At 39.6% G+C, this 24467-nt stretch overlaps 1 protein-coding gene across 8 annotated transcripts in view; it reads left to right on the plus strand.

The window, feature by feature from the left end:
* The window catches only part of RP1 (RP1 axonemal microtubule associated), a 312050-nt gene that overhangs the window by 34813 nt on the left and 252770 nt on the right, over positions 1-24467 (plus strand). Inside the window, exon 1 of one of the 8 annotated variants that reach the window (NM_006269.2) lies at positions 22099-22205. The exons of the other annotated variants lie outside the window; for them this stretch is intronic. The gene's annotated coding sequence lies outside the window, so the exon portion shown is untranslated. Of the gene's footprint in view, positions 1-22098; positions 22206-24467 lie in introns of those variants that run through there. 8 annotated transcript variants of the gene reach the window in all.

Below are 24467 nucleotides of genomic sequence, written 5' to 3' on the forward strand. Positions count from 1 at the left end.
TCATTCCTGAACTCTGAGAGAACTTGGGACCAGGAACTTGGTTCTTCTTGGTCTGAGGCTGGAAACACATCATTCCTGAACTCTGAGAGAACTTGGGACCAGGAACTTGGTTCTTCTTGGTCTGAGGCTGGAAACACATCATTCCTGAACTCTGAGAGAACTTGGGACCAGGAACTTGGTTCTTCTTGGTCTGAGGCTGGAAACACATCATTCCTGAACTCTGAGAGAACTTGGGACCAGGAACTTGGTTCTTCTTGGTCTGAGGCTGGAAACACATCATTCCTGAACTCTGAGAGAACTTGGGACCAGGAACTTGGTTCTTCTTGGTCTGAGGCTGGCAAGGAAGAGCACTTTGTGTTGGACCTCAGTGTTGGCAGCTAAGCTGTTGGATCTGGCAGGCACTGGTCTATCTTCCACTTGCCTTTAGTTCTCTACCTTTATGAGTGCCCTACCTTTTGTTAGAAGCACATTATTTTCTGGTATGCTACAAGTGATATTTTGAAAAGCTCTGGAGACAATTAGGACACATCTGAATTTGTTTGATGAAAGTAATTTAAATCATTTTTACAATAAAACAGAATAAACATGGATAAAATTGGCATGCTGTTTCAGACAAAATTAAGACTTAAATTTGAAGCTCTGATTACAATTCTGGTTTATGATTATGTATTCATTCTTTTCTTTCATTAGGGGTACTTAAATGGAAAGAATTGAAACACAGAATTCTAAGGCAAATAAAAGGCCACTAGAAGCACTGTAATTATTATGGAAGTTGTTCATTAGAGATACATATGCTAGGAATTTAAATCAGAACTCAGAAATTTCCATTTTTAGAATGAATTAAAAAGACCATGTATGAGATTTTAAAAAATATTCTTTAACAGGAAGGGAGAATTTGTGATGATAGCATATAGTGGGAAGGATGGGAATAAAACTGCTATTTGAAGAGAATATCTACTTTTTAAGGTAAAAATCTCAAGTCAGTTTAAAATAATTTCAAGGTATTTTTCTTACTCAAAAATCCCTATAATAAATAAACATTTAAAATAAATAAATATTAAAATGAATAATTCCTTCTGAATAGTATACTTTTATTCTAGAATGTCTATTTCCTCTAAGAAGGATCCTCCAAACATTTTTTTTTTTTTTTGAGATGGAGTCTTTCTCTGTTGCCCAGGGTGGAGTGCAGTCGCGCGATCTCAGCTCACTGCAAGCTCCACCTCCCAGGTTCACGCCATTCTCCTGCCTCAGCCTCCCGAGTAGCTGGGACTACAGGCGCCCGCCACCATGCCCAGATAATTTTTTGTATTTTTAGTAGAGACAGGGTTTCACTCTGTTAGCCAGGATGGTCTTGATCTCCTGACCTCGTGATCCGCCCGCCTCAGCCTCCCAAAGTGCTGGGATTACGGGTGTGAGACACCACGCCTGGCCCCCTCCAAACATTTTAAACTAACAACTTTAATCTAACTGCTTGGTTAGAATGAGAATTCCCTGTGTCATCTCCTCTTAGCAAACTGCAATCTTTTAACATCTTAATACTTCTCTCTGGCAGGGTGCTAGGAGCATACCAGGGGAGATTTCTCCAAAATCGCTTCTTCCACTGGCTGCTTCCAATAATTTATTTGAAATCTCAAGGACTGCTTATTACTCAAAAAGAAAAGTATAAACCCAGAGTCTACTCGCCTGATTATGCTAAGCATAAAATGCTTTATTGTTTTAAATAATTAGAAATTATTTTGTGGATTGACTTGTCTCTCAAACTTGATTATATGTTTTGAGGATAGCTGTATTTACTATCATTATTAATAAAGCTATTTCCTTTTATTATAAAAGAAAATATATGCTCTTACAGTATTTCAAACACTCTGGAAGACTTGCTACAGAAGAGGTGATTTATTCCTGACCATCACATTCTTTGGAGGAATTAGCTTTTTTCATTCTTTCATTTAGCAAATAAATTATTGAAATCTGATGAAGTGATTATAAGTCAATAATTTTGTCTAAATTAAAAATAAGTTTAGTCAAACAACAAGAATGATAATGATACATTGTAATTTAGTGTTGCTTAGAAAATTCTTGGGATATATAGAATGCTATTTTATTTAATAATTCTGTTTCTCCATAAGACTATAATAGACTTCAAGAGCTTTTTCATTCTTGTCCTATGCATTAATCAGGATCGCTGTGAATTTTAATTCAGAGTACATTTAGATCGGTTTCATCTGTTCAACAACTGATGGAAATGTGAAATTCCATTGTGATTTTTGGGGTACACTTGTTACCTCAGCATAACCTAGACTCTCTTGTCCATTATAGGCCCTACCTATATCACAACTGTAAATCTACAATTTCTGGAGTTTGTTTCATTGCATGAACAATAATATTCACCTCCTTCACAATTCTTTGTCTCTTAGCTATCCCATGACTCAAATTATCTCCTCTACATGAATACCTTTCAAATCTTCTCTTATTCTGATCCCTCTCCAAATTTCCAATATAAGATTAATAACTTTCAGACATCACCACCTAGATGTCTATGACCTCAAATCTGTTACAAATAGGATGGATTTACCCAACTCTTGATTTAACATTGTTTTTGACACATGTTGTCTGTTTTTGTTAGTGGTACCACAGGGTTGTAAGACTTGAGCTCCCCACTTAAACAAGGACAGAGCAAGTACTCAGTAAGAGCCAACTCTTTTCCTCTGTGATACTCCTGCTCTATGCAGCTTTTGCTGAACTATGCTCTGTGTCAGATTATTTAATTACGATACATTATTCATTTAAAGGATTAAATAAATTACCCATCTCCTTGCCTTCTACAACCAATCTATTGTTATGTTATTTTGGGTCCACCTCTGAAATTTTTTGGAAATAATTTCCTTCCTTTCTATTCCTATTCTCATTACTCTAAGTCAAGCCCTTATGAACTCTGGATTTCACTATTTTTAGAGCTACCTTACCGGTTTCTGTCAGCACTGTGTCCTCCCTCCAAATCATTTGACATAGCAATGTCAAGGACATCTTCAGTTCTGATTATGTCATTTCCCTGCTCAAAAACCTTCAGCATTTCCATGTTCAATAGAATAGAACTAAAACTCCTTAGCCCGGCATTTTCCATCTCCACAGTATGGTCTCCACACATACACAGGCTTCAATGTTAGATGGAGAATACTACTGCAAAGTGGTTAAGAGCCTTCATTATTTACTAATTGTGTGACCTTTGGTTAATTACTACTCCCTCCTCAACTCCAGTTTTTCTACTTGGAAAAACAGGGATAATAATAGTACATACTTCCTATAGTTGTTATGAGGATTAAATAATTCATTTAAAGCATTAACATGCCTGGTAAAATATAAGTAATCAAGACATTTTATTATTATTATTATTACAGCATTTTTAGATGAGTACATAAATACATGTTGTATATTTATGGAACTTGATATCAATTCAGTTCTTCTCTTTATATGTTTTAGAAATGGGAACATGAGTCTACAGGACTGGGAATTATGGCTCCCTCACCATTCAGTTCCCATGTATTTCTCATTAGCAATTATTTCTAGATGAAGGGCTATGCCTGTTGTGCTGTATGGAGCACACTGAATGTTGTCATGATTACTTGCCTAAGCAGGTTATTAATGAAACTCAAGTTTCCACTAAAAAGAAGCAATGTACTGATATATGCTAAAACATAGTTGAACCTCAAAAACATTATGCTAAATAAACAATGCCAGACAAAAGACCTCCATATTGTGTGTCCATTTATATAAAATGTCCAGAATAGTCAAGTCTATAAAGCCTAGAAGATAGATTAGTGGTTGCTTTGGGCTGTGGGTGGAAATGAAGAATGACTGCAAATGGAGACAAAGTGTTTTTTTTTGGGTTGATGAAAATGTGTACATATAGTTCCATGTCATTTTATCACATCTGTAACCACCACCACAAGAAAGATGCAGAATTGTTTGATTTCATAAAGATCTTGCTTGAGCTACCCCTTTATGGCCATACATTTTTCCCTCCCCGCACTATCGTTAACCCCTGCCAACCACTAATCTATTCTCAATCTCTGTAATTATGACATTTTGAGAATATTATATAAATTAAATCATATAGCATATGAGTTCATTACCAATAATTTAACGTAATTATTGATATTCTAAGGTTTAAGTCTGCCATATTATTTTTTGTTTTCTATTTTCTCTGATTTTTCATTTCTTTCTTTCATATACTTCCTGTGGAATACTTTAACATATTTTAGAATTCTATTTTGATTCTATATTGTTTGTAAGCATATCTCTTTGTATATATTTTTAGTAACTACTCTAAGTATTAAATTGTACATACATAACTATCAGTCTACTGATGTAGACATTTTACCAGTGTTAAGTGTAGCCCTTTAATTCTCTTTACCCTCCCTCATTTATAATTGTTTTAATATTTCCTCTACTTCATTGAGAGCCACATAAGAAAATATTATACTTTTGCTTCAATTGTCAAAAACAATTTAGAAAATTCAGATGGAAAGTTTATTGTATTTATTCTTATTTTTGTTCTTTCTGTTGTCCTTTTTTCTTTCCTTATATTCCCAAATTCCTTCTTTTATCATTTACTTTCTGTCAGATAACTTCCTTCAGTCATTCTTTTAGAGTAATTCTGCTGGTGACAAATATTCTTAGTTTTCCTTCATCTGAGCATGCCTTTGTTACCTGCATTCCTCAAGGATATTTTTGCCGGACATAGAACTGTGGTTGACAGCTCTTTTACTGTAGCACTTAGAAAATGGTTGCAATATCCTTCGGAGCTTCTTGACTTTTGATGAGAAGTCGGCTGTCATTTGAATTGTTTCCCCCTTTTCCCTTACAGGTAATGTGTCATTTCTCTCTGGTTCCTTTCAAAATTATTTTCGCTGTCTTTAGTTTTCTGAAGTTTGATGATGGTGTGTCTTAGTGTAAATTTCTTTGGGTTTTTTGTCCTTGGGGTTTGATCAGTTTCTTAAATCTGTAGTTTGTTTTTGCTAAATAAGTTTTCAACCATTATTTCTGGGAAAATATTTTGAGGCCCACCTGCTTCCTCCTCTCCTTCTGAGATCTTTTGTTATAGTTCTGCAAGTCCCTGAGGTTCTGTTCAATTTTTTTTTCAATCTATTTTCTCTCTGTTGTTCAGATTGGGTAATTTCTATTGTACTACCTTCAAGATAACTATATAATTATTTCCTGTCTTTTCCATGATGCTGTTGAGCCCACTCATTGTGTTTTAAAATTTTGATTACTGTAGTTTTCATTTCCAGAATTTCCATTTGGTTCTTCTTTATATCTTCTATTTCTAAGGCTTTCTATTATTTCGTTTGTTTCAAGTCCATTTGGAATTGCTTGTTGAAGTAGTTGTATGGCATCTGCTTTAAAACCCTTGTCAGATAATTCCAACTCTGTGTCATGTTGATGTTGTCATTTGTTGACTGAAAGTCTTTTTTTTTTTTTTGAGACAGGGTCTCACTCTGTCGCCCAGGCTGGAATGCGGTGGCACCGTCTCGGCTCACTGCAACCTCTGTCTCCTGGCTTCAATCAGTTCTCATGGCTCAGCCTCCCGAGTAGGCTACAGGTGCACATCACCATGCCTGGCTAATTTTTGTATTTTTTGGTAGAGGCGATGTTTCATCATGTTGGCCAGGCTGGTCTCAAACTCCTGACCTCAAGTGATCCACTTGCCTTGGCCTCCCAAAGTACTGGGGTTACAGGCCACTGTGCCTGGCCTGACTGAATGTCTTTTGTCATTCAAGTTGAGATTTTCCTTGTTCTTGGTATGATGAGTGCTTTTTAAAGGTTGCATTCCGGACATTTTGGGTACTATGTTATGAGACTCTGGGTCCTATTTAAATCTTGTGTTTTAGAAGACCTCCTTTGACACTGCTGGCAGAGGAAAGGGAACTCACTCCTCTTTACTACCAGATGTGGATGGAAGCTCTGGCCACTTACACTGCCTCATTTGACATCCTGAGGAGGGGTACACCTTATTACTACTGGGCAGGGATGGGACTTCAGGCTTTGATATGGTTTGGCTGTGTCTTCATCCAAATCTCATCTTGAATTGTAGCTTCCACAATTCCCACATGTTGTAGGAGGGAACTGGTGGGAGGTAACTGAATGATGAGGGTGTGTCTTTCCCATGCTGTTCTCGTGACAGTAAGTCTCATGAGATCTGATGGTTTTATAAAGGGGAGTTTCCCTGCATAAGCTCTGTCTCTTGCCTGCCATAATGTAAGAAGTCCCTTTGCCCTTCCTTCATCTTCTGCCATGATTGTGAGGCCTGCCCAGCCATGTAGAACTTTGAGTCAATTAAACCTCTTTCTTTATAAATTACCGAGTCTTGGGAATGGCTTTATTAGCAGCATGAGAACAGACTAATACAGGCTTCCTTTGTGGTCTCATTTACCCTGCAGAGTGGCGGGGAGTTGGGGAGGGATTTGGGCAGACCCATTACTGCTAAATGGTGGTGAAAGTTCTGGCTTCCCTCTGGGCTTCTTCTGATACGAATAAGAGGGAGTGTGGTGGCTTTACTACCAGGTGGAGATGGAAGTCTTGGTTCCCCACTTGGCCTTCACTGATATCATCCAGTGTAGGGAAGAGAGGGATGCCTCATTATTGCTGGAGAAGGGCACAGGTCGAGGCTTCCCAAGGCAGATAAGAGTATGGTGAGGCCTGGGTATTTTCCTGTGGTGTTTGGCTGCATTGGGCAGGTATTGCCTAAATGTTTTCTGTCTTACTAGCTTGCCCCTTTCCTGGACCCTTGGCCAGAGAGAGGTGACTTTCATTGGAGCATTTTAAATCTGCTCCTATCGGTGTTTTTTGGTCACTGGCTTCTCTAGCACCTAGTTTGGGATATATGGGACAAAAAGAAAACCCAGAGAACACACTGCTGTGTCATTCCTTGAGTTTTGTGATTCCTAGCCCTCCTGTCTTCTTGTCTGTGTCTTTCAGTGTATTTGCTTTATATATAATGTCCGGGGTTTTCGGTTGTACTTAGTGAGAGGAATAGGGAGACGTGGTCTCCTCCATTTCGGTCTGGACTATTCTCTGCAACTAATCTGACCATTTCGTTTTGCCATTCTGCCTTACAATGTAGGAGTATTGACTTACATGACCTACAAGTAACTTGCATAAAGACATGAAAAGGCAAATAATGGGGTTTATCAAAGATACCTCTCCACTGTTAAAAATTAAGCTTTGAAATCCTATCATAAGAATGAATGCTAAATAAAAAGAAAACCTAAAATATTTTCAACATGTGGATATGTAATTTTTTTTGAAAGAAGCGATATTCACAAGAACAAAAAACCAAACACCGCATATTCTCACTCATAGGTGGGAATTGAACAATGGGAACACATGGACACAGGAGGGGGAACATTACACTCTGGGGACTGTTGTGGGGTTGGGGGAGGGGGGAGGGATAGCATTGGGAGATATACCTAATGCTAGATGACGAGTTAGTGGGTGCAGCGCACCAGCATGTCACATGTATACATATGTAACTAACGTGCACATTGTGCACATGTATCCTAAAACTTAAAGTATAATAAAAAAAAACAAAATAAAAAACTTAGAAAAAAAAAAAAAAGAAAGAAGCGATAGTACCAAAGACTTGCACAAGAATGTTCATAGAAGTATTATCTGCAGGAGCCCCAAACTGGAAACAACCTAAATGCTATTCAAATGGTGAATGAATAAATAAAATACAATAAAATATTTGAAAATAATAAGGAATAAAGTACTAATATATGCTACTACATGGATGAATCTCAAAAGCACTATGCTAAGTGAAAAAAGCCAGCCATAAAAGATCACATATGGCATGACTCCATTTATATGAAATGTTCAAAATAGGCAAATCCATAAAGACAGAAAGTAGATTCGTGGTTGCCTAGGGCTGGTGTAGGGGTGGTGGGATAGGTACAGTTTCTTTCTTTCTTTCTGAGGTGTTCTAAACTTAGATCATTGTAATCTTGGAACAACTCTGAATATTCTACAAATCACTGAATCATCCATTTTTTTAAATTATGCTTTAAGTTTTAGGGTAAATGTGCACAACGTGCAGGTTTGTTACATATGTATACATGTGCCATGTTGGTGTGCTGCACCCATTAACTCTTCATTTAACATTAGGTATATCTCCCAGTGCTATCCCTCCCCTCTTCCCCCACCCCACAACAGGCCCCAGTGTGTGATGTTCCCCTTTCTGTGTCCATGTGTTCTCATTGTTCAATTACCACCTATGAGTGAGAACATGCGGTGTTTGGTTTTTTGTCCTTGCGACAGTTTGCTGAGAATGATGGTTTCCAGCTTCATCCACGTCCCTACAAAGGACATGAACTCATCCTTTTTTATGGCTGCATAGTATTCCAAGGTGTATATGTGCCACATTTTCTTGATCCAGTCTATCATTGTTGGACATTTGGGTTGGTTCCAGGTCTTTGCTATTGTGAATAGTGCTGCAATAAACATACATGTGTATGTGTCTTTATAGCAGCATGTTTTATAATCCTTTGGGTATATACCCAGTAATGGGATGGCTGGGTCAAATGGTATTTCTAGTTCTAGATCCCTGAGGAATCACTACACTGACTTCCACAATGGTTGAACCAGTTTACAGTCCCAGTAACAGTGTAAAAGTGTTCCTATTTCTCCACATCCTCTCCAGCACCTGTTGTTTCCTGACTTTTTAATGATTGCCATTCTAACTGGTGTGAGATGGTATCTCATTGTGCTTTTGATTTGCATTTCTCTGATGGCCAGTGATGATGAGCATTTTTTCATGTGTCTTTTGGCTGCATAAATGTCTTCTTTTGAGAAGTGTCTGTTCATATCCTTTGCCCACTTGTTGATGGGGTTGTTTGTTTTTTTCTTGTAAATTTGTTTGAGGTCATTGTAGATTCTGGATATTAGCCCTTTGTTAGATGAGTAGATGGCAAAAATTTTCTCCCATTCTGTAGGTTGCCTGTTCACTCTGATGGTAGTTTCTTCTGCTGTGTGGAAGCTCTTTAGTTTAATTAGATCCCATTTGTCAATTTTTGTTTTTGTTGCCATTGCTTTTGATGTTTTAGACATGAAGTGCTTGCCCATGCCTATGTCCTGAATGGTATTGCCTAGGTTTTCTTCTAGGGTTTTTATGGTTTTAGGTCTAACATTTAAGTCCTTAATCCATCTTGAATTAATTTTTGTATAAGGTGTAAGGAAGGGATCCTGTTTCAGCTTTCTACATATGGCTAGCCAGTTTTCCCAGCACCATTTATTAAATAGGGAATCTTTTCCCCATTTCTTGTTTTTGTCAGGTTTGTCAAAGATCAGATGGTTGTAGATATGCGGCATTATTTCTGAGGGCTCTGTTCTGTTCCGTTGGTCTATATCTCTGTTTTGGTACCAGTACCATGCTGTTTTGGTTACTGTAGCCTTGTAGTATAGTTTGAAGTCAGGTAGCGTGGTGCCTCCAGCTTTGTTCTTTTGCCTTAGGATTGACTTGGCAATGAGGGCTCTTTTTTGGTTCCATATGAACTTGAAAGTAGTTTTTTCCAATTCTGTGAAGAAAGTCATTGGTAGCTTGATGGGGATGGCATTGAATCTATAAATTACCTTGAGCAGTGTGGCCATTTTCACGATATTGATTCTTCTTACCCATGAGCATGGAATGTTCTTCCATTTGTTTGTATCCTCTTTTATTTCATTGAGCAGTGGTTTGTAGTTCTCCTTGAAGAAGTCCTTCACATCCCTTGTAAGTTGGATTCCTAGGTATTTTATTCTCTTTGAAGCAATTATGAATGGGAGTTCACTCATGATTTGGCTCTCTGTTTGTCTGTTATTGGTGTATAAGAATGCTTGTGATTTTTGTACACTGATTTTGTATCCTGAGACTTTGCTGAAGTTGCCTATCAGTTTAAGGAGATTTGGGACTGAGACGATGGGGTTTTCTAGATATACGATCATGTCATCTGCAAACAGGACAATTTGACTTCCTCTTTTCCTACTTGAACACCCTTTATTTCCTTCTCCTGCCTGATTGCCCTGGCCAGAACTTCCAACACTATGTTGAATAGGAGTGGTGAGAGAGGGCATCCCTGTCTTGTGCCAGTTTTCAGAGGGTATGCTTCCAGTTTTTGCCCATTCAGTATGATATTGGTTGTGGGTTTGTCATAGATAGCTCTTATTATTTTGAGATAATTCCCATCAATACCTAATTTATTGAGAGTTTTTAGCATGAAGAGTTGCTGAATTTTGTCAAAGGCCTTTTCTGCATCTATTGAGATAATCATGTGGTTTTTGTCGTTGGTTCTGTTTATATGCTGGATTACGTTTATTGATTTGTGTATGTTGAACCAGCCTTGCATCCCAGGGATGAAGCCCACTTGATCATGGTGGATAAGCTTTTTGATATGCTGCTGGATTCATTTTGCCAGTATTTTACTGAGGATTTTTGCATCGATGTTCATCAGGGATATCGGTCTAAAATTCTCTTTTTTTGTTGTGTCTCTGCCAGGCTTTGGTATCAGGATGATGCTGGCCTCATAAAATGAGTTAGGGAGGATTCTCTCTTTTTCTATTGATTGGAATAGTTTCAGAAGGAATGATACCAGATCCTCCTTGTACCTCTGGTAGAATTCGGCAGTCAATCCATCTGGTCCTGGACTTTTTTTGGTTGATAAGCTATTAATTATTGCCTCAATTTCAGAGCCTGTTATTGGTCTATTCAGAGATTCAACTTCTTCCTGGTTTAGTCTTGGGAGGGTGTATGTGTTGCGGAATTTATCCATTTCTTCTAGATTTTCTAGTTTATTTTCATATAGGTGTTTATAGTATTCTCTGATGGTAGTTTGTATTTCTGTGGGATCGGCGGTGATATCCTCTTTGTCATTTTTTATTGCATCTATTTGATTCTTCTCTCTTTTCTTCTTTATTAGTCTTGCTAGTGGTCTATCAATTTTGTTGATCTTTTCAAAAAACCAGCTCCTGGATTCATTGATTTTTTGAAGGGTTTTTTGTGTCTCTATTTCCTTCAGTTCTTCTCTGATCTTAGTTATTTCTTGCCTTCTGCTAGCTTTTGAATGTGTTTGCTCTTGCTTCTCTAGTTCTTTTAATTGTGATGTTAGGGTGTCAATTTTAGATCTTGTCTTCTTTCTCTTGTGGGCATTTAGTGCTATAAATTTCCCTCTACACACTGCTTTGAATGTGTCCCAGAGATTCTGGTATGTTGTGTCTTTGTTCTCATTGATTTCAAAGAACATCTTTATTACTGCCTTCATTTCGTTATGCACCCAGTAGTCATTCAGGAGCAGGTTGTTCAATTTCCATGTAGTTGAGCGGTTTTGAGTGAGTTTCTTAATCCTGAGTTCTAGTTTGATTGCACTGTGGTCTGAGAGAGAGTTTGTTATAATTTCTATTCTTTTACATTTGCTGAGAAGTGCTTTACTTCCAACTATGTGGTCAGTTTTGGAATAGGTGTAGTGTGGTGCTGAAAAGAATGTATATTCTGTTGATTTGGGGTGGAGAGTTCTGCAGATGTCTATTAGGTCCACTTGGTGCAGAGCTGAGTTCAGTTCCTGGATATCCTTGTTAACTTTCTGTCTCGTTGATCTGTCTAATGCTGACAGTGGGGTGTTAAAGTCTCCCATTATTATTGTGTGGGAGTCTAAGTCTCTTTGCAGGTCTCTAAGGACTTGCTTTATGAATCTGGGTGCTCCTGTATTCGGTGCTTATATATTTAGGATAGTTGGCTCTTCTTGTTGAATTGATCCCTTTACCATTATGTAATGGCCTTCTTTGTCTCTTTTGATCTTTGTTAGTTTAAAGTCTGTTTTATCCGAGACTAGGATTGCAACCCCTGCCTTTTTTGGTTTTCCATTTGCTTGGTAGATCTTCCTCCATCCCTTTATTTTGAGCCTATGTGTGTCTCTGCACATGATGAGATGGGTTTCCTGAATACAGCACACTGATGGGTCTTGACTCTTTATCCAATTTGCCAGTCTGTGTCTTTTAATTGGAGTATTTAGCCCATTTCCATTTAAGGTTAATATTGTTATGTGTGAATTTGATCCTGTCATGATGATGTTAGCTGGTTATTTTGCTCATTAGTTGATGCAGTTTCTTCCTAACTTTGATGGTCCTTACAATTTGGCATGTTTTTGCAGTGGCTGGTACCGGTTGTTCCTTTGCATGTTCAGTGCTTCCTTCAGGAGCTCTTTTAGGGCAGGCCTGGTGGTGACAAAATCTCTCAGCGTTTGCTCATCTGTAAAGTATTTTATTTCTCCTTCACTTATGAAGCTTAGTTTGGCTTGATATGAAATTCTGAGTTGAAAATTCTTTTCTTTAAGAATGTTGAATATTGGCCCCCACTCTCTTCTGGCTTGTAGGGTTTCTGCCGAGAGATCTGCTGTTACTCTGATGGGCTTCCCTTTGTGGGTAACCCGACCTTTCTCTCTGGCTGCCCTTAACATTTATTCCTTCATTTCAACTTTGCTGAATCTGACAATTATGTGTCTTGGAGTTGCTCTTCTCGAGGAGTATCTTTGTGGTGTTCTCTGTATTTCCTGAATTTGAATATTGGCCTGCCTTGCTAGATTGGGGAAGTTCTCCTGGTTAATATCCTGCAGAGTGTTTTCCAACTTGGTTGCACTCTCCTCATCACTTTCAGGTACACCAATCAGACGTAGATTTGGTCTTTTCACATAGTCCCATATTTCTTGGAGGCTTTGTTTGTTTCTTTTTATTCTTTTTTTCTCTAAACTTCTCTTCTCACTTCATTTCATTCATTTGATCTTCCACCACTGATACCCTTTCTTCCAGTTGATCGAATCGGCTACTGAGGCTTGTGCATTCGTCACGTAGTTCTCGTGCCATGGTTTTCAGCTCCATCAGGTCCTTTAAGGACTTCTCTGTATTGGTTATTCTAGTTATCCATTCGTCTAATTTTTTTTCAAGGTTTTTAACTTCTTTGCCATGGGTTCGAACCTCCTCCTTTAGCTCAGAGTAGTTTGATCGTCTGAAGTCTTCTTCTCTCAACTCGTCAAAGTCATTCTCCATCCAGCTTTGTTCCATTGCTGGTGAGGAGCTGTGTTCCTTTGGAGGAGGAGAGGCGCTCTGATTTTTAGAGTTTCCAGTTTTTCTGCTCTGTTTTTTCCCCATCTTTGTGGTTTTATCTACCTTTGGTGTTTGATAATGGTGACAAACAGATGGGGTTTTGGTGTGGATGTCCTTTCTGTTTGTTAGTTTTCCTTCTAACAGTCAGTACCCTCAGCTGCAGGTCTGTTGGAGTTTCCTGGAGGTCCACTCCAGACCCTGTTTGCCTGGGTATCCGCAGCAGAGGCTACAGAACAGTGGATATTGGTGAACAGCAAATGTTACTGCCTGATTGTTCCTTTGGAAGTTTTGTCTCAGAAGAGTACCCAGCTGTGTGAGGTGTCAGTCTGCCCCTACTGGGGGGTGCCTCCCAGTTAGGCTACTCGGGGGTCAGGGACCCACTTGAGGAGGCAGTCTGTCTTTTCTCAGATCTCCAGTTGCATGCTGGGAGAACCACTACTCTCTTCCAAGCTTTCAGACAGGGACATTTAAGTCTGCATAGGTTTCTGCTGCCTTTTATTTGGCTATGCCCTGCCCCCAGAGGTGGAGTCTATAGAGGCAGGCAGGCCTCCTTGAGCTGCGGTGGGCTTCACCCAGTTTGAGGTTCCTGGCCACTTTGTTTACCTACTCAAGCCTCGGCAACGGCACGGACCCCTCCCCTAGCCTCGCTGCCACCTTGCAGTTTGATCTCAGACTGCTGTGCTAGCAATGAGCGAGGCTCTGTGGGCATAGGACCCTCTGAGCCATGCGTGGGATATAATCTCCTGGTGTGCCATTTGCTAAGACCATTGGAAAAGTGCAGTATTAGGGTGGGAGTGACCTGGTTTTCCAGGTGCTGTCTGTCACCTCTTTCTTTGACTAGGAAAGGGAATTCCCTGACCCCTTGCACTTCCTGGGTGAGGCGATGCCTCACCCTGCTTCGGCTCATGCTTGATGTGCTCCACCCACTGTCCTGCACCCACTGTCTGACACTCCCCAGTGATATGAACCCGGTACCTCAGTTGGAAATGCAGAAATCACCCATCTTCTGTGTTGCTCACACTGGGAGCTGGAGACTGGAGCTGTTCCTATTTTGGCCATCTGCCTTTTTTTTTTTTTTTTTTAATTTGAGATGAAGTCTCAGTCTGTTGCCCAGGCTGGAGTGTAGTGGCACAATCTTGGCTCACTGCAACCTCTGCCTCCTGAGTTCAAGTGTGAATCATCCACTTTAAATGGGTTAATTTTATGGCATGGAAATCATGTATCAACAAAGCAGTTTTAAAAACTAGATGGTCATGACGGTATGTTCAATGTAAGGGAGCATATAGAAGCCCTCTCTGCCCTCTGTTTTCAGTCTAGGCAGTTATTTGTGCCTGACTAACCAAATGACTTGGCCGAAAGAATAGCATGAGATGGTTTTGCATATACACTGACTATGAAAAAAAAGTTGGCTTACATATGTTTGTTCAACATGGTAAAAAAAGAAGGGAGGAATCTAGTGAAAATTAGAGAACTCCTAGGGGATGGACGATATTGCAGCAAACCACCAAGGCACACATTTTCCTATAACAAACCTGTACATGCTGCACATGTACCTCTGAACTTAAAAGTTGAAGAAAAAAAGAAAATTAGAGAGTAAGTCTTAAATATATTTGCTATCCTAATAACAATAGTCTGTATATACTCAAATCTTTGCTTGTTCTCTCTTCCTTTCAAATAATACATTAAAAACCATAGTCTTCTAGTTAGTAAAGTGTATTTGGGCTGAGTTTGCCTTCCCTCTACATCTAAGCACCATGAAGATGGGGGCTGGGACTGTCTTATCTGTAGTCACATGGACAGGATCTGACAGTAGATAGACATCAGCCTCTTTGGTTCCGGAGGACTTTATGTTGCAGACAGGCATGCTAAGGCATGAGGAAAGTCCAGTTGATGGGGCTGGGGATACCCAGGTTCAGGAGGGCTAGGTACAGGCAGTAAGCTATGATGGATAGATGTCAGGGAAAATCAAGGTGTAGACCAGGAAATGGTCCCATTCCATCAGATCATAGCAGATCAATGCTGGGTAGCAAGAGCCAGGAAAGAACAGTCTCCTGGCCAGCCTGCATTGGGTGCTGCTTGGTGTCATTTTACATTTGTGTGGGAGGCCAAGGTAGGAGGATTACTTGAGCCTAGGAGTTTGAGACCAGTCAGGGAAACAAAGTGAGACCCAGTCTTAAAAAAAAAAATAGCTGGGTGTGGTGATGCACTCCTGCAGTCCCAGCTACTCAGGAGGTTTAGGCTGGAGCATCACTTGAGCCTGGGAGGTAGAGGCTGCAATGAGCCATGATTGTGTCTCTGTACTCCAGCCTGTGTGACAGAGCAAAACCTTGTCTTAAACAAACCAAAAGAAAACCGAAACCAAAACAAAACACAACAACAAAAAAAGAGAAAACAACATAAAACAGAATACACTTATGGTTACTAACCAACAGCAGGTTCTCAATGCCCCCCACAAGCCTACTATACCTCCTCTTCTGGTCCTCCTTTCATTCCACTGGGTGACTATTTCACAGCTTCTCCTGTCTCATTAGATTAATAACACCTCCTCCCCCTCACTCACACCCTCAGTGGATGGCCTCACATCCCAGGTCGCTGAGATGGAGAAGCAGTCAGAAGGGAAGGTCACCTCTACCAGCATCACTGCCTGTCTTTCTGCTACTGGGGATGGCCTTCTCCTTAATCCCTGCTGAGACATACACCTCTGTTGTGCATTATATTCCATCTCCCTGTTAGGCACTGAAGGATGCAGCTCCAAGAGCTCCCTGCTCTTACCCACAGCATTAAATCTTCCCTTTTGACTGGTTCATTCCTATCAGCATACACGCATATTACACCTCAAACTGTGTCTGATTTTAAATATGGAAAAACAAACTAACAGAAAGAAAACTAGCAAAAAATTTATCTCCACGTGCTGACTCCAATCCCTCTCCTTCTAGTTTTCTTTTGCCCCTATGCCCAGTGAAGATTTTATCCATACTGTTCCACCAAAAAAGGTCTTGAGGTTACAGATAAACTTCACATTGCTAAAGCCCATGCTTACTTCTCAGCACTCCTCTTACTTGATGTATGAGTACCATTTGACACAGCTCATCACTACCTCCTTTTGAAACACTTCTTTCCTTTGGCTTCCAGAACACTACTCTGTTGATGCACCTTTTCCTCATAAACTCCTTTGCTGGAGTTTGCTGATGGTTCCTCACCGTCTCTGTGGCTGCTATCTTTGCAGTGCTTTGGGATCTGATCTTGCACCAATTCTCTTCTCTATTTACACTCACTTCTTGGAAGTTCTCATCCAGATTCTTCCAAGTTTTAAGCACCATCAGTATATCAGTGCATCACGTTTATACCTTTAGCTTGAACCTTTAGTATAATGCCTTTAGTATACTTAAGAATCTTCAGTATACTGCCTACTTGATATTTCTATTTGGATGTCTAATATGCTTTTCAAGGTGATATTCACTATCACCTCCCACTCTCTTGACTGGTACTTCTGAGGTCCTCTCCATCTGAATAATTAGCAACTCCATTCTTCCAGATGTACTGGACAAAAATCTTAGTCTTCCTTGACAGTTTTATTGCTCTCATTCCCCACAGCCAATCCATATCCAATCCATAACTAAGACATCTGCAAATGCTGTCACATCCACAGCAGCTATCTTGGTCTGAGTAATCCTCACTTCTTGCTTGGATTATTACAATGCCCTCCTAATTGGCGTACCTGAATTTCTTTTTTTACAATCTAATATAGTGCCTTTTTGTTTTAACTTGAAGGACTTCCTGTAACATTTCTTGAGGAGCAGGTCTATTGGTAATAAACTTCCCGAGCTTTTATCTATCAAGGACTGTCTTAATTTTGCCCTCATTTTTAAAAGACAGTTTTGCCAGATATAGAAGTCTTGGCTGGCAGTTCTTTTCCCTTCAGCACTTTGAATATATCATACTGTGCCTTCTGGCCTCCAAGGTTTCTAATGAGAAACTGGTGAATAATCATATAGAGGATCCCTTGTATCTGATGAATTGCTTCCCTTTTGATGCTTTAATGTATTTCAGTGCAGGTCTCTTGTAGTTCATCCTACGTGTAGTTCATCGAACTTTTGAATTTGTAGATTCATGTATTTCATCCAACTTGGGAAAATTTTGGCCATTTTTTCTTCAAATATCTCTGCCCTTTTCTCTTTCTCTTCTCCTTCTGGAACTCCCATAATGTGTATGTTATTCTAGTTGATGGTATCCCCAGGTCCTTCAAACTCTGTTTACCTTTCCTTAATAGTTTTTCTTTCTGGTCATCAAACTCAAAACTTTCAGTTGTCCTATTTTCAAGTTCTGCTGATTGTTTTTGCTGCTCAAATTTGTTTTTGAACTGCTCTTGTGAATTTTTCATGTCCATTTTGTACTTTTCTGCTCCAGAATTTCTTTTTGGTTCCTTTTCATATTTCCTATCTCTAATAATATTCTTATTTTGTTCATACATCTCATTTTGTTCCTGTTTTTGTCCATGTGTTCCTTTAGTGCTTTAAGCATCTTTAAGATAGTTGTTTTATAGTCTTTGTCTAGTAATTCTGCCATCTGGCTTCCTCAGGGACATTTTCTGTTATTTTGTTCCTTTTAATGGGATATACTTTCCTCTTTTTTAATGTGTGTGCATTGTGACTTTTTCTTTGTTTAAAACTCTATTTGAATCATATAATTTGGTAACTCTGGAAATTTAATCCTCTCCCCTCCCCATGGTTTGTTGTTTTCTTTCCCTCCCTCCCTCCCTCCCTCTCTCCCTTCCTTCCTTCCTTCCTTCCTTCCTATTCCCCCCTGCCCCCCAACCTTTCTTTTTTATTTGTACGGTTTCTCTTTGCCAAGGATCAGCCTGCAGTAGAAGCTTATGGTATTCAGGTCTTTTCTGAGTCTATGTTTTTCCCTGAGCATATGAGATGACTTTCTAAACTCCCCGGTATAATGCGGTTGCTTTTGAATATCTCATCTTTAAGTGCCTAGTTCCTAAAATGGGGTAGATGATTTAAAAAGAAGAAAAACGTCCCAGGTATTATATCTTTAAATCCCCTGGAAGCCACTTCTGCCACTGAGAGCTGCAACAATGCCTACCTCTGTATGCACCTCTGCAATCAGAAGCAGAAATCAGCAGCCAGAACACAGAAACTTAGTATTTGGAGGAGGGAGTTCTTATTTCTCACTCTGGATCCTGCAAGCTGCTGTAGGAATGCAGGCTGCTGTCCCCACAGCTGCCTGCCATGGGGCTGGGGGATGAGGAATGAGTAGTCACTATAGCACTAATGGCTGAAATAAATGGAAATTAATTACAATTTACCAGCCAAGCCTTCCTCTGGAACCTGCAAGCATTCAGATATACTTCAGAGTTCCAAAATATTAACTTCAGACAGTTTCTGCTAGTACAATTTTTGTCCAAGTGGGGAGATGAGTTCCTGGCACTGCCTACTCTGCCATCTTCCATTGGATATACCAGTATTTTTAACATCATTGTCAAAGTAATCCTTGGAAGTGTGAGATCATTACTTCTCTTCTCAAAATCCTTCCTTGGTTTCTCATCTCACTTAAAGTTAAAGCCAAAGTATTTACCAACGGCTACAGACCCTGTATAATTTGGTGCCCTGCTTTCTAGCCACACTGGTCTTCTTATAATTTCTCAAATACTTCAAATACTTCCCACAAACCTTTGCACTTACTCTCTCTGCCAGGAACACACTTCTGTCAAATATCTGAACACCATTTCCCCTGACTACTTTTAGATTTCTTCTCACGTCACTTCTCAGTGAGGTTTTCCCTGACCTCTACCACTGCCACTCCTACTTTACCTCACTTTTCTCCATAGCACTTTATAGGATCTAACATGCTGTAGATTTGCTTTTTTTATTCATAGTTTGTCTCTGCAGGATAATGTGACCCCATGAAGGCAAGGATTTTTTTCTGTTGTGTTTGTTGCTATGTGTGTCTAATACACAGTGAGTATGCATTAATTATCTGTTGAACAAATAAACAAATGAGTAAAGAAGGAAGGGGAATGGGTTTTTACAGGGAATGGTTTTTTAAGGTAGAGGCCATTTAGGTTCAATATCCAATAATTTAACTTCATCAGAATGGACCATACACAGAATTCTATGTGGCTTGGATGACAAAGGACGAAGGCCATATTCCATAAAAGGTATACAAAATTATTATGCTTCCTGATATAGTCTGATCTCTGTCCTGGGTTCCTTGGGCCTGCCTGGAAAGGTAAATTCTAGCAGTTACAATGAGACAGCATTCTTCAGGCATATATATCTCCACAACAATTCTGTACTAAGGCAGGCAGAGGATCATTCCTTTAATAGGTATTTATTAAGTGCCTGATATATATAAGGTATTGAGCTGTTTCTGGAAATTCAGAGATGATAAAGAAGTTACACTTCTGGTGCTTGATGCACCAGTTGTTTGTGCAGTATGAAATGTATAGAGAGTATATTTATACAGATAGATAAGGGGGCATATTGGAGGGTACTTACTTCATTCAGCGTGTTGATGTAGTGGGAAGGCAGGGGTTCAAGAAAGGTTTCTGAGATGAACTGAGTGTGGAAGGAAGGGACAGAAAATGTATGGCAATGAAAGGCAGGGTGTCTGGGTTATGAGGAGGCATTCCAAGTAAGATAAACAATATATGCAAAAATCTAGAGCCACATTTAAAAAACTTCAAATAATCAAAACTACAGAGTAAGACATATGGATCGAAATGAAATTGGAAAAGTAAGCTGAAGTCAGATCACAATTTTTGAGGCATGCTAGGGCATGAAGTCATTTACTAAATGCTGTGAGGATCATGGAAGTGTGTTAAAAGAAGATAAACATGGCAAAAATAATAATGTCCATTTACTGAACACTTGTTATGACATTCAGACACTGTGTCAAACACATAATGTATATTCTCTTACTTAACCCTCACCAATGAGCCTATAAAGCAGGTACTTTTCCACATTTTATGGCCAGGGAAGTAGACAGAGGAATTAAGTACATGGCTTGCAGATTCACATAGCAAAGTGGAAGAGGCAGGATTTGAACTGAGGTCTGACTGACTCAGTGGTATGCTGAGAATGTATGCTTAACACCACTCCTGTCATCTGGCCACTCTAACAGCAGTGACTAGACAGAACTTAACAGAGCTCAGATATGACATACAGGTAATCTCAGAGGCCATGGCAATTGAAGTCATTCTCAGGGAAGAAGCCTAATATGAACTCTGCCAATGAGGCTTTTGGCATTTCTTAGACTCACTTATCAAAGGCGGGCCAGGGCCAGAAGCATCAGCATCAGCTTATTAGAAATGTAGACTCTCAGACCCCACCCCAGGCCTACTGAGTCAACCACTGCAGCAAGATCCCAGGAAATTCATGTGCACCTTCAAGCTTGGGAAGCCATGGTTTAGATACACACTGATATGTGCCAGAGACAAGTGATACCAGGGAGAGGGTATGGTAGCTCGACTGGATAACAGGGATACCTGGTCTCTGTCCTTAACTGGAGTTGTGGGAGTGGAACGTATACTACGGGAGATGCTCAGAAATGGAGAGCCCATTTTGTGCTGTCTTATATGTAAGAAATGTTATCTTTCCTAAAAGTGCTCCAAAAGAAACCTTTTTTGGTTCTTTTGATTCTTTTGATGCTGATGCTTCTGGCCCTGGCCCACCTTTGATAAGTGAGTCTAAGGAATGCCAAAAGCCTCACTGGCAGAAATACTTTCAGTGTCAAAACAGAACTGATCAATGTGAATTGTTTATCAGACATAGATTATAGAATTAAAGATAAAGTCAAGAGAAATGCTGCATTAGTCCTTAGCTATTTAATGGCAGATCATATCTGATCCCAAACTTTTTGAATTTGTACTTCAATTTGGAGCTGGTAATGATACAATTCATGCCTATTGCTACCCTGTAAACACAAATTTCCTTACTGATTTAATAGCCATGTCTGTGTGTAGACAGTGATAATTATAAATGGAGGTTTGTATCAAAGCTGGACACTACTGTTTCTCTTATCTACACCTCACTCTTTCTCTTTCTCCCCATCCCTCCCTACTCCTCTCTCCATTTCTCTCTCATAGGTGGCCTGCAACAAAGTCAGTATTTATGAGGCAAAGTGTGCAGTTTCATGACCTTTTTCCTTTTGTGATTGGTGTGGAGACAACATTGTGGCGCACATGCTTGAACCTGGTCCTGTTTCCCCAGAGGACCCCTTACCTTGTTTTTGTTGTTCAGAGCTGAGGCAGGAAGCCCCGTAGGAAACCCGATTAGGTGAAGCATCTTCAAGTCCGATTAGACCACAGGTAGTCATTAGAAGGATCAGGTGCCATCTGGGGACTTTATGTGTGACAAAGTCCTGAAACATGTTCAAACCCCAGTATGAGTAAGGGAAGCAGTGGAAGCGTGCTGGGTATGCAGAAGCATAAAATCATAGCATTTCATCGTGTGCTGCTTCTGCTGTTTGTCCTGCGTTATGCTGAGTCACCAAATTGTGTACGTTCACAGTCATTTCAGAATTACATCAATGAGGTAATAAGCAAGAGTGCCTAAATAAAACAAAAGGCCTAGATCTTTATTTTTAAATGATTACCAGGAGCAAGTACTGACTTAGAAACTTATCAGAATGAGAAAATGTCAAACAATTTCATTTTTAGCCTGCACAATAACAACTTTCTCCTGTTAACATAAATAAATGAGGGTTAAAAGTTGTCTGGGAGAGAAATGCTTGTGTACTGGTGAAGTACTTTTTCTGGAGGATAACACTAGGCAAGAAAGAAGATGCAAGGGAAACCTTCATGAGGAAGATTTCACAACTGCAGAGCATGCTAGGAACTGGTTTGCTTCTGGCTGTTGTCTCCTTAGGGTGAGCTCTGTCTGGTGATTAGCATCACCATGGATTAAATTAATTGGCTGTACTCAATCCCTTGCTGGACATACTGAGAATAAATCCAAAGACATTAGTTTCTTTGCACGAAATGAGGTTACATATCCAGTGACATTTATTTGAGCTATTTAAACAACTTAAACATCTTTTTCTTTTCTTAATAAGGGACGTTTCAAGTTGTGGTAAGTACAAAACTATTTGAAATCTTTCTTTGGAAAATATTCTGTTTTGCTAGTTGTATTTTGTTTTCCATGTTATACTTAGATTATATATCTGTGTTCTGTCTTTAACTGTTAGAAAAAGCATAAATGTTATTAATAATTATCTTTTACCTAACTATGCCAGCAACCTTCACAATATGCTGATATTGAAATAGAATGGAACTTCAGTATCAGGAAATCAAGTGATTCTAGTTTATTCAAATGAGTAATGTTTACTTTGTTTCTGACAATAAAAGCATTATATACTTCTTATAGACATCTAGGCAATACACTAAAGAAGAAGACAGCTGCTTGTAATTCAACAATGCTGTGACTACCACAGTGAATAACTGGTGATTTTCCTTTTTGAATCTCCTCTCTCAACTCTGCCCCATAGGCTTATGAAAATCTGAAATGAACTGATTTTTCTTGCAACATCAAGTCTCTGAATTGCTAAAAGAATGAACATTCTGTACATTCTGTATTTCTCAATTTTCCATTTTTTCTACTTCATTATTTGTGACTTGTCTGAATTCACACTATGTGGTAGAAAATTAAACTTAAAATATAATTAGTGAAATGACGCATGTAACTCTGTCATGTTTTGTCAAGTGAGTGAGAGAGTGAAGACACAGCCCTCTTGGTAGAGGCCAACTATTTAGTTCTGAGCAGCACAGCTGTAAATGATTGTTTTAAGTGGGGTTTGATTGAAACTAATGATGCCACAGATAAGCCTAGCCACAGTTGAGCCTAAGGGTGTTAAAAAATCTGCTTAATATTAAAGAGCAATGAAAGTATGCATGATAGCTCCATTGTCTAACTTTAGGCAATAAAGAGTCTCTGCAGAGAAGAAGAGACGATATTGGTAGCAAGCTGTCATGTCATTAGAAGCGGATTTTAAGGCAAAAAGTTTTTGTAAACCAGCTTCCTTGCTACATATAAGGAAGTCACTGGTGAAGAAACTGGAGGGCCTCAAGATTCTACAGTTACCTCTTTCCACCTCCACCACTTCTTCAGCCTAAACTTCTGGGAGAATTCAACCATTTTATGCTGCTCAGTTTGTTCGTTCCCTAGGTAGCCCTTAAGTATATTACTGCCTTATTCCAAATTTAAAGGGCATAAGATACACCTTATTATCGAAAATGTATGTAAAGATACATTGCTAAATTTCCATGCAAATTCTGATTCGTTCTTAAAACTGATTAAGAATGGAGCACAGCTAACATAGGAGAACTCAAAAACGTTATGGAGGGCTGGTAGCTCTGTTTCACAGAAGTGGGCACTGTATTGTCAAGACTTAATGACCACGTTGCTAGTCTTGCTCAGGTGCACCAGGTAAATGGTGTACCACCTCTGCCTTCTTCCTGGAGGGCATCTCTACCACTTTTTGCCTCTGGCATCTCAACTTTACACAGACTCTCCTCTGGAAATTGCCCTCTCTTCTCACTCCTACCCCCAATCCCTGAGGCTGTATTAGACATCCCTCCTTAATATTCTCTTGGTACCCCAACTCTTCCTCTTCTTCAGTTGAGCTATTGAGTTACTCTGTGAACTTCCCATGGACTCTGTAGGAAATGCACATTATTAAGACAGGGCAAAAGCTGATTCACTTCCTTCAGAAATACTTGGTTTGCACCCTCTTTCCAAATGATGACATTGTGCAATCAATGAACACAAATGTTTTTATTCAACAATAATACCTAATCTTTATCATGTTCTGGGTTTTACACACAAGGCCCTCTTTATCATAGGCTCTTAAGACTCACCTACAAGGATGCAGAATCTCAACACTCTACCTAAAAGTTCCCCCAGTGACTTCTAGGAGTTCCCAGAGATTCTCTCACACATATGAAGATCATGTGAACTTGTATTTTTGTTTTGTTTTCACTACAGCATCCCCAACAAGGTGCCTGGCAACCACGTGTTGGATGCACCTTCTCTGCAAATGCTCCTCCACTGCTGGGGACCTGGCATCTTCCCAGGTCATGGTACCTTCAGCACCTGCCCTTCATGCACTGGGCTCAAAACCAATGCTCAGGGCTGGGTAGCAGTGGGATAGGGACAATGGCAGCTGCTTCTTTGCTCCTATTGTCTTTATCTTCTATGTTTTCCCTCCTGGCCCCAGCACAAAATCTTTCTCTTTAGCCAAAACCGACAAACAAAACTACCCACAAAATTCTTAGCATATTGGCTCACATAGATGTGTTCCCAAAGTGGTCACCAGGTTAACAGCTCTCCAAATAG

The sequence above is a fragment of the Homo sapiens genome, chromosome 8 (assembly GCF_000001405.40).
Source record: "Homo sapiens chromosome 8, GRCh38.p14 Primary Assembly".
Classification (NCBI taxonomy): Eukaryota; Metazoa; Chordata; class Mammalia; order Primates; family Hominidae; genus Homo; species Homo sapiens.